Source organism: Homo sapiens, chromosome 11, assembly GCF_000001405.40.
Source record: "Homo sapiens chromosome 11, GRCh38.p14 Primary Assembly".
NCBI classification, from domain to species: Eukaryota; Metazoa; Chordata; class Mammalia; order Primates; family Hominidae; genus Homo; species Homo sapiens.
In genome coordinates, this window is record NC_000011.10 from 88,952,035 (window position 1) to 88,964,137 (window position 12,103).

At 34.6% G+C, this 12,103-nt stretch overlaps 1 protein-coding gene across 4 annotated transcripts in view; it reads right to left on the minus strand.

Annotated features, from left to right (window-relative positions):
* Positions 1 to 12,103, minus strand: part of GRM5 (glutamate metabotropic receptor 5) — a 561,341-nt gene that overhangs the window by 447,393 nt on the left and 101,845 nt on the right. The window lies entirely within an intron of this gene.

Sequence of the window (12,103 nt, forward strand, 5' to 3'; positions counted from 1 at the left end):
CTTCTCCATATAACTCATGTCCCAGCCAACTTCTCAGGTGTCAGCTCTCAGCAAAGTCTCGCTCTCTTCCACCATGTGCACATACAAACAAACACACACACACACACACACATTGCTATAATGCACAATGTTCTCTGCGTTTTCTTTAAGCTAACTCACACCCTGTCCCCATTTCCTGGGATACCCAGTCTCTGCCACTTTTCTGAAAATCTCCTATACATCTTTCAGGTTTCCTCACTGAAACGTTTTTATGACTTCCTGGACTCTCTAATGTGCCCATATAGCTCTCTGAACTTCCAACTGTTACTCAGTAGCATTGTATAGATTGTAATCCCTGTTAATTGGTATGTCTCATACACTAGCCTGAAGGCTGCACAAGAGTGGGGTTTTTCTCCCTCTTTCACTGTCTCATTGCTGGTAAATTGTAGAGTAAATGGTATTGGTATGCATTCAATGAGTATTGGTTGAATGTTCTGATGCAAAATTCATACCCCAAAACGTAAAGAAAAATTTCTACCATTAACTTCTCAGTACCGCCTACTACCTCTTGTAAATTCCATAGTAAGTTAAAAAGGTGAATGCAGAAAGAGAGCTTTTTTTTTTAATCCCCAGGAATGCTAATGTGGAAAGTCACAGGGTTTTTGATGATGTCAGTATTTTTATTTTTCTCTCAATATGTATGTATAGAGGAAATCAAACAATGGGTATCCATTTTAAAAATAAATCAGAACAATTTATTTTCAGCCTTGGGCAATCATTTCCATTTCTTAAATGAGAAAAAAAGAGAAAATAAAACAGGAACAGATGTCTATTTCCATCCATTATCCCATAATTGTTTTTATCTGTAAAACATCTTCTAAAAGGAATATAGAGAAGACAGTAAGAAAAATAAAAATTTAATAGTTATTATATTTGAGCGTTTGGATAATGGAGGATTTTCCCCTCTCTTTTCTAAACTTTCTATAATGTTAAACTATCTTTAATGCAATGAATAAAATGAATAGAGAGTGAAGAAAGCAATCATGTTTCTGAATTACCTTCATTTATCCTTCTGCAAAGATAGTGAAATAAAAACCCTGATGTTCTAGATCAAATTTATTGCAGCCTATTACAGTACCTTGCAATTTGTAAGACTCGTGTTTATTGTTTGCGGATTGAGGGTTTTGAGGAAAGAGAAAGGATCAAGACACAATTATCAACATTCCACTTTTTAAAAATTCATGCATTCATTGTAGTGTATACACATCTACACACACTTATATGCATACACACACATCTATGCCAGTAGATTAAAATCCCATACCATAGAATTGGGCAGGTAATAGGCTCTCAGAATAAGACCTGGAGAATGACTAATTTGTTTCTTTAAATTTCAACAGCCTACTTTATCATGTTTTTTTCTTTCTTAAGTCAGTATCTTCAAAGAAGCAAAAGAAGGTACACGAAGCAGAAATGTAAGCCAAATATATACACTCTGATGGCCTGTTAAAGTCACATAGGCTGACCTCTTCTAAACTATAAAACCACATGAGCCTCCACCTTCATTTGTTTCCTCTGTCCTTGCCATAGGCACTACCACAGTGCTCCATGGGGCGCTGTGGCCAGTCGCTATCAGAAAAGCACATCTCCTTGGTATCCACAATATCAACATTGCCTATGTTGGATACTTAATTCTAATATCCATGCTGCTGAATCATGTAATTTATGGTGAAAAAAATCAAAATGTCATTTAATGGAGAAAGAAAAATTGTGAAAGAATCACACAATTGAGTGCTTTATGATGCTAAAGATATTTCAAGCAGTCATTTTCATATGACTTTTGTAATGTAGCAACTCGTCTTACAATGTTTTAAGAGAAGTATTTTACCTAAATGTGCATGTCTTCTGACCATTGCATGGAGAATAAGCTTCTGTAAACACCACTGAAAGAACATATTATGTTTTATGTTAACACGTTATATTTCATGTCAGTCTTTTGGTTCATAAATGGTGTAGATAAAATTACTGTTCAAAGAATGGTTATCAACCTGCTGTTCTCCTTTCATTAAAATTAGGTTCATATTCTGGTCATTTCTTAGCAGTTTTATTCAATGTTAAGTCCATAGGTTAGCTAAAATGCTGTTTCTTCCCAGTGGAAGAGTTGGGAAAGCACAATACCAGTCATGTGGTGCCTTCTACATCAACAGTATCAAAACTGTTCCACCTAAGATGGAAATGCTGCATATCTTAAAGAAAATTAGTTAAGAATTCAAAAGCTTTTCATTGACCTCATGAGCCCTCCAAAAATAATACAGAGATACCTGACATTTTGTAGTGTTCTTCTAGAGAGAATGCTAAAGTGTTTTTGCTTAACATTTGTGTGCTCCCTAAGGTAAGTAAAGTGAATGTTATTATTCTTATCACATGTTGTATAAAGAAAAACAAGACCAGAGAGACTAAAGGATAAACGTTTATTTAACAATTTAGTAATATAATCAGGTCTAACATGAGAGCCCAGCACTGCTCAATAGAACTTTCTGCAGTGATAGAAATGGTCTATAAATCTAAGCTGTTTGATACCAGTGGCTATTGAGTACTTGAAATGTGGCTGGTGCAACAGAGAAACTGCATTTTTAATTTATTTAATTTTAATTAATTTTAATTTAAGAAACCACATGTGGCTAGTAGCCACTGTAGTAGACAGCACAGCTCTAGTCATTTCCCCTGTGTTCTGTCCTGTAATCACCTGGCTGATTTTGTTACCATTGTTGGCATGATAAAGTAGGCTGCTTGCTGTTAATTGTTCTAACCTTAAAGCCTGGTGGTAGGCATGGTACATTGTGGAACAGGTGCTCGGATGGGTGAATGTAGAAAGGCTTCAATGGCAAGGGCTAAGGATTAAAATTTAAAAGACTGAATGTAAAAGACTTTTAGATTTATCTTTCCAAAATAATAAAATACATGGGGATACTTTCCCATTTACTAAGTTCCTGAAAAATGATATGGACAATTTCTATAATGATTTATGGCCTGTCCAACGCTTTCACGTGTTTTTTTTCCCCCATTGGCATTAATAGTGGTAACACAAAGCCAACAAGCAAGTAATTTTGTGTTGTTTGTATACACACACAATCAAAAGCAAAGATAAGGTGAGTAACTTGTTCAGTTACAGAACCAGAAGGAGTTTACTGTTATCATTCTTCAAGAATAAAAAGAGCTGGGACAATTCTTTTCAATCTACTACATAAAATATTTCAAACAGTTCAGCTTATGTTTTAGAGTCATACATTAATCACTAATGTGTATAAACAATGACACTAAAAGATCTTATGGTGATTATTCAGGTTCAATGGTAACAGTTAATGATGATTACGTATGCCTTACTATAACCTCTTGAAAATTGGTAAATTTTGCAAACCATGTATGTTAACTCTTGATGAAGGCACAGATAATAAAACTCATGTAATTATAAAATTAACAAAAAATGTACATTTCCACAGCATACAGAAAATAATTTGCCATATTTATTTCTCCACTCTCAACTTCTTCGTTAGCTTAAAATGCTTTTTTTCTATCTAATTTCTTCACATTTCATCTACACTCTGATCATACCTTGTTCCGTCCTTGTCCCAAATGTATCCTGAACTTTCTTGCTTCTTTTCCATTGTGTGTGGAGTTCTGTTCATTCAGAGTGCCCTTCCCACTTGTCCACCTACTAAACCTTAACATTTTTCAGCATCTAGATCAAATGCCTCCCACTACAGAAAGTCTTTTCTCTCATCAGAATTCATCACTCCTTGTTCAGTATTTTCTTAGCAATTCTGATCTTGATCTCACACTTTGCACAATAGATATTTATCTGAAAGCCTTGTTATTAGTTAGTAGTCTGAATGTACCATGAGTTGAAGACCATTTGAATCTCTTTAAAGTTCCTATAAGATAGGTTCTTAAATAATGCTGGTTACAAATTATTTTTTTAAAAATTCAATTGTGAAACAGCATTTGTATTTTGTCTTGCTAACGTCAGATCAGCTTCACAAAACAGCATCAGAAACTCAAACCTCTATTCAGGCATTCCTGATACTATTCACAAGTGAGAATCTGAAAGTGCAAAGCTTAGAGTAGCAGATTGGCACAGAATCCCCTCAGCTTGAAAATTTTGTCGGAATAAATAATCACCTAACACTCTGCCTTCACACTCTTTGCACGTAAAAGCTAAAGTGTTCAGAATGCAAATCCCTTAACAAAATTCCAAAGTAGAGCAGTCAGAGAATAACATTAAAATCTTAGTGATAGACGATATTTATCATGGTACACTGATTCTAATTAAGTGAATTATTTTGTTGCAAGTATTTTATTCACTTATTCAAGAAATATTTATTAAGCATACATCATACGCTAGGCACTCTGCTAGGCTAGAGATTGAATACAAATATTACATTGTTCCTATTCTCAAGAATTCATAGTCTCCTAGGAAAGGCACAGTATGTAGTATATTAAAAAGAAAAACTGGGCGGGCGCGGTGGCTCACGCCTGTAAACCCAGCACTTTCGGCGGCCGAGGCGGGCAGATCACGAGGTCAGGAAATCGAGACCATCCTGGCTAACACGGTGAAACCCCGTCTCTACTAAAAATACAAAAAATTAGCCGGGCGCGGTGGCGGGGGCCTGTAGTCCCAGCTCCTCGAGAGGCTGAGGCAGGAGAAAGGCGTGAACCCGGAAGGCGGAACTTGCAGTGAGCCGAGATTGCGCCACTGCAGTCCGGCCTGGGCGAAAGAATGAGACTCCGTCAAAAGAAAAAAAGAAAAAGAAAAGCGTCGGTACAATAACTTCTATTTTGTTCTCAGCTTGATCAACTAATCTGAGCCTATTTCTTCATCTGTAAAATGGAGACACTAAAATTACATACCTTACTGGGTTATTGTGAGAACTTAGGAAGGTAATGTATGCAAATACATGAAGTATTTAGTCCATTGTTTGTAATTTAATAAATTCTCAGTAATTATCAGTAATAATAATTGCAGTTCAAGGTGAAAAGTGCTATGAACAAGGAAAATAGAATATACTATGCAAATGTGAAAGGATGGGACCTCATTCTGTCAACGTAAGTTGGAGAAGCCTTCTCAGAGGAGGATTGTTGAAAGACTTGAACGATGAGTAGGAATTTTCCAGGTGACATCACTAAGAAAGGAATGGATGCTTCCGATGAAAAAACACATCCTCAGAAGAATATATTCAAGAGAATTGTAAGCAGCACAGTATGGCTAAAGCAGAAGGCGGATGGAGAAGAGACTAAAGAACATGACAAAGAGATCTCATAAACATTCAGAAGAGGAGGACTGTGGATGTATTTCCATTTTACCAAAAGCAATGTGGGATGAAATACACTTTAGAGTGCTGAAGCATTAAGTGAGAAAACAAGCTGTAAGTTTATCTCAACAGTTCCAGGACATAGATGACAAGATCTTGAACTTAGTTCTAAACAACGGGGATGAAGATAAGAAAAAAATGAGGTTGTCTTGAAATGGTGTAATGATTGGTAATGGAGATTGAGACATCACTATAAAATCACAGAAGAAAGTATGTTCCTGTTTTTTCACCAACTTACTATAATGAAAATGGACATATAAATATATTTCATTTATTGCTGGAAAACTAACAGGATCATATCAGAAAGAATGAAGATAATTTCTCTCTATTACATTGAAGAATATTGCAGGATTAGTTCATGCTTTAAAATGATCTTCCCCCATAGAGACAATATTTTTTATTTTTACTTTAAATAATCTTAATATTTCATTCATTTTAAAATGTAAATAGAGTTTACAAAAAAAGTATCCAAATTTATCCCACAAAAGCAGAAAGGGAAGATTAGAAATCTCTAACTGTGCATAGTGTTCTAATTTTTAAATTCTAATTGTGTTTTATCCTATCTCAAATTGTAGAATCTTTTTAAGAACTATTTTTAATTTTAGAAACTTATATTTTTTATACTACCAAAGATTGAAGTTGACAAGGTATAGAATTTTTCAACACCTAAAATTATCAAAATAATTAACTTCCAGGACAACACTTTAACTCAACTACTTCCCCAACCTATGCCCTCCAGCCACCAGAAAGAAGCCTTCAGGAGTCCCTACAGCACCCACACAGGTCCTCTCCAGTTTTCCCCCTCCCTTCCTGATGCTGTGAAAACCACAGAATAAATGTTTATCACTTTCAAAAATATTTTATATATATATATATAATGTATATGAATTTTTCTTTTTACTGCACATAATATAGTATCCTGTTCACCTCTCAGATAAATAAATCATAATTATCATTTTCTGCTTTTAAATACCCTGAAAATATAATATAAAAATTACATAAAATCAATTTTTTGAAACATAAAAAAATTAAAAGAATTACAAAAACAACTTGTTCAATAAATTTTGTCTTATAAAATATCTGCCAAAGAAAATATTCTAAAGAGAATAAAAATGATTGTTCCTCTAAGGCTTAGGCTTAAATATTCACACATTTCAATATAAAATATAACTAAAGACATCTTTCATTTAGCATAAATTGTTCTGATACCTATTAGATAAATCAGTATTTGCAGTGAAGGTATTTTAAGATAAACCATTATAGTTTACAATAGCAATTCTCAAACTTTCTAAGTTTCATAACACCTTTGCACTCCTAAGAAGTACTGAATGCTCCAAATGACTTTTGTTTATGTGGGCAATATCCACTGGTATTTACTATATTAAAAACTAAAACACAAATTTAAATATTCATTGATCTTAAATAACCTATTACATGTTAACGCAAATATTTTTATTGAAAATTGTATATTTCCATAGAAAATATAGAAATATTTTTAGTGTGAAGGGTGGCATTTTTAGTGTGAAGGGTGGCATTTTTTCTTACTTTATTTTTAAAAAGTTTGCAAAGTGTCAGACTTCATAGAAGATAGTTGGATTTTTATAGCTATCGCATTTAAAATGCTGTGATACCATGTGTCAGAAAGCCTACAGAAAATTCGATCATATATTCATAAGAGAATGAGAAATAGAGATATATGGCATTTTAATACTATATAAAAATAGTTTTGACCTCACAGGACCTGTGAAAGGATTCTGAATCTCCAGGTGTCTTTGGATCACATATTAGTAATTTCTGCTCTTCAGGAAAATGTCAATTGGAAGTGTAAACAATTTAAATTTTAGTAACTGAAAATACAAATGTTAAGATGATTGTAGCAAATTTATAGAAAAAATAAAAACTGTGATGTCATGTTGAAATAAATATATTCATAAAAATACCAGTGGCTCCATCAGAGACAGATATGTCTAAGAAATTAATATTATGCAAATTTTAACTAATAATCCAGATTTTGTCATTTTTAATGTTCAGATGCTGAACATAAAATATAAACATATTATAATTAATTTTATATACATTAATATACGTAAAGTTTCTAAATAACTTTATTTTTATCTGCATTTTAGATTTTAAAATGTCAAATTCTAAAGTAAACATAGTTCTACAGGTATAAATTGATAAAAATATACTAATCATCTGACAGTTATAGCTCTTTTTAAAGCAGTTTTGAGATACTCTATTTCAAGAACAAATAAGAGACTACTAACACCCTTCCTTCCCTGCTCCACATAACAGTTTCACCTCTTATTTGAGAGAATGTTCAGATATTGACCTTAGTTGAGTCAGCCAGAGACACAGAGCTCTGGGTTAGAACCACTGCCTAGCCAGGAAGAGGGAAATGTGATAAGAGGTCAGTGTATTGCTAAAAATCACACTCCTATCTATGTTTAGATGAGATGGAATAAATCATGAAGGCAAACAAAGTCTTCTTGACAGAAGAAAGTATATATACAGCTAGACTTTGGAAAGATTTTCTTTTCTTGTTTTCCATAGAACATTTTAAACTCAGTTTAACATATGGTGTTTAGCAAAGTCATCGCTGATAAGATGACATTTGAGTAGACATCTGGATGAAGGGAGGAAGCAAGCCATGCAGACTCCGGGTAAAGCATGTTCTCAGCGGAGGAAACTGCACTTGGAAAGGATCTGAGGCAGACTTGTGCTTAGAATGTTTGAGAAAGAGCAAGGAGACCATTTGGCCAGAGTAAGATGGATGAATGGGGCAAGTGAAAGGCATGCAGTCAGAGAAGTAGTAGGGAACTGATTATGTAGGTCTATTTATATTTAGAATGAATGAATTTGGGAATGACTGGAAGGCTGTAAAAAGAACAGAGACATTATCCAATAATTAACACATATTACAATTACTGTGTGTCAGGCTCTATTCTAAGTACTTTATATAAGCTTGTGTCATCCTCACAAAAAAAAAACTATGAAGTAGGCACATAAAGGATATTGCTAAATATTAAAAGGGCTTTGTGAAATTCTTCAGATTGACTTTCTAAACCACCTTTGGGCAAAGACAAATATTTCCTAGGAAGGAACATCCATTGCTAACTAAAGTTGAGTGAGTGCTGGTTAATGCTTGGTGCAACAGACCTAATATCTGATTTAAAAGAATCACATTAGATAGTCTTAAGAATAGATAGTAGTAGGGCAAGTGTGGAAGCAGGAAGATGAGTTGGGAAGCTTACAATACCCAGAAATTTTAGGAAACTTGGAAAAATGTGTGAGATGAACATGTTTGAGCTGATTTATCCTAGATTCCCCATCACTGCTGGTGACCTAGTAGAGTTAGTTGCAGTTGACAGAAATGGAAGTAAAGGAGACCACTAAAATAACATCACAGATCTGAAACCAAATGACCGTAAGATATTTTCCTTAGTATAAACAGTAAGCCAAAAATGAATTCAGGTGAAGTCAACCATTATTTCTGATTACATTATATATAAAAAATATTCTAGATGAAGCGGTTTTTAACAGATATTAGCACTCCCATGATATTGATAAGAAAACAAGTTCAGAAAGAAGCATGTATACTGAAGAACACATAGCTAATAACTGGTAGAGTCTGGATTTCAATCCAATGGTGTTCAACTTTGGGGCCTAAAATAACTGCTAGATTATATCACTGGCTCTTTAATTTATAGTTGCTAGGGGTACTGTGAATCTCTAGGTGAGAAATTCTTCAAGAATAGCCTAAATAATTCAAGGAGGTTTAACTGGATCCAAGTGGGGTAAAAGGAGAACACCAAAAGTAGGCACCATATATGAACTCACTGTTTTAGAATATTGTTCTTAGCATCTAGACAGGTGGGTAAACAAATGGGTGCAATGTACAAGCAGCTCAGCTGTTCCCAGTGATTTGTGTTTTGTCAAAATAACTCAGCCAAGTTGTCCTCAGTAAAAATGTTACAGCATTTTTTTTTTTTTTGCTTGTTTTAAAAACACTGGCGAACCCAAAGAGACACAGCAGCCAAGAATTGAGGCTGCCATTTGCAACTGTGCCAGGGTCAAAGTCACTGTCTGTCCTTGGGCCATTCATTCAAATGTTTTGAGACCTCATTTGTCTCACAGATAAATGGAACTCTTGCTACTTATCCATTTTTCCTTTGAGATCCTTCAGATAATTTGCAATTTAATGAGAAGTATGGGCAAGATATTATCACCTTCTCTCTGCTAATTAAATTCTTCCTTTCTTTACTTCCCAAACTTCAACATAACATTCCAAGACTTACTTGACTATTCATGATCCTCTTCTTTTTCAATTTTATCATAAATTTGTCATCTGGCATTGAGCATTCCCTTCATTTTAATGGTGATAATCCTTTTATGCATGTGGCCTGTCTACCCAGAGTTACTAGGAGATCCTAGAAGGCAGAACCAAGATTACATATATATTTCCATGTACACCCGGTGATCAGTGAAATGCTGTGCAGGAAATTAGAACTGGCTGAGAATTCGATGATGGTAATGATGACTGTAATAGCAGTTACTGTTTATGGAGCACATACTTTGTGCCAGTCACATTATATAATGTCTTATTTTATCCCCACAAAAACTTGCAAGGCATTTATTATAATATGAATTTAGAATCAAGGAAACTGAGATGCATAGATAAACTGAGATGCATAAGTAGTGCATAAAAATCAGAAAGTCAGTGGCAGAGGTATGATAAAAATCCACACTGTTCTAACTCTCAAATCAGTGCAGAATGGCAGAAGTGTCATTTCAGTTATATATGTATGTAGGATCCATTCGCCATGCACTCACCAATACACTTATGCATCAGTTTATCCATCAGTTTAATAATTTAGCCATCCACCCACCTTTCCTCCAAATATCCACTCTTCCATCCACACACTCATTTGTTCTTATATTCACGTAGCCATTCTTCAATTCTTCCATTCACTTACCTTGTCTTCCATTCCACCACTCTCTTCATGCATTCAACTAACCATTCACTCATACACTAAATAATTCATTCATATATCTACTCATCCAATTATTTTCTAACTCATCCATTTATTCCCTAACATATCTGTATATTGAAACCATTACCAATCTGTTGATTTATTCATTTAGTCACTGATTCATTCATTTATTAATTTAATAATTCCTGACATCTATCCATTAATTCTATCACCTATTCAACTGTTTATTAAAATATATGCATTTATTACCATTATTAAGTATCTTCTTTGTAGCAAACCCTTACTAGATACAAGGAACACTAAAATGAGTAAGACGTACTCTAACCTACAGTATCTTACAGTCTGATTCAAATAATCTAGAAAAAAATAATGTGAGGCAAAGGAGAAAATATCTTTGTTGTGTGGAGAGAAGCAGTTCAATAAAAACTTACCATCCCAGCACGGTAGTTCACGCCTGAAATCCCAGCACTTTGGGAGGCCAAGGCTGGCAGATCACGAGGTCAAGAGATAGACACCATCCTGGCCAACATGGTGAAACCTCGTCTCTACTAAAAATACAAAAATTAGCCAGGCATGGCGGCACACGCCTGTAGTCCCAACTACTCAGGAGGCTGAGGCAGGAGAATTGTTTGAACCCAGGAGGCAGAGGTTGCAGTGAGCTGAGATCATGCCACTGCACACTCCAGCCTGGTGACAGAACAAGGCTCTGTCTCAAAACAAACAAAAAACAAACAAACAAAAAAAACTTACCAAAGGAGGTGATATACAAATGCAGGCTTAAAAGAAACAGAGAGGTTTACAAGTTGGAAAACAAAGGAAACATTTCAGACAATGGGAAATGGTAAAGCAGATGCAAATTTACATTAAATAACAGGATATATGTGGCATACTGTTGGTCATTCCCCAATATTTATTATGCCTTTCTAATAGTAATAAAATTACGAATTAAAAGCTAGGCAAAATAGTTGCCCAGAATCAAATTTACTTTTTCAGCCTCACTAACCATACAGTTAGTTAGGTATTGCCATTTATGTTAGTTTTGATCACTGAATGTGAGCAGAAGTAGTGTTTGCAACATCTGTGTTATGTTTCAAAAGGAGAAGAAGTAATAAACTTGCCATCCCTTTTATCTTCCTTCTGGCTGAAATACAGTTATGCTATTTAGCCATGTTGGACCATGTAGATAAAGCAACCTGGTAGAGGTGGCAGAATTATAGGATGGAAAAATTCTAGACCCCATGACATTGTGCCGGTCAACCTCTTCTAGCTTTGGCTTTTACTTTTTTTATCTTGTTTAAACCACTTGTAATTTCTTAATTTGGATGTTTTATGGTATGTGACCCTTTATTCTATACAATGGACTGTTTCACGAAACGAATATAAAATACGTGGCATTCTCTTTGAGACAGTAAGAGAGGCTGTGAAGATACAGATATCACATCTTGGAAAGCTGAAAACTCTCAGTACATTATGGCCAATATTTGGTAAAACTTGTCCTAATACTTGGAAAGAAAACTCCTTCCTGTGAGAGTCTATGCTCAAGAGGAAAGGTTTAGAAATATTCTTATTCTTATTTTATGTTTTAGTAAAGGCCCACAAGAGATGAAGGACACTAGGATGGAGATTTAGTTTACACAGATTGGAGACTCTACAGATCAGTGCAGGGACACACTCTTTATGTGCAATTTGTAATCTAGGTTGACTGAAAATTTTATAATTTGGGGCCTTATATATTCAAAAAGTGAATTGATTTTGTAACTT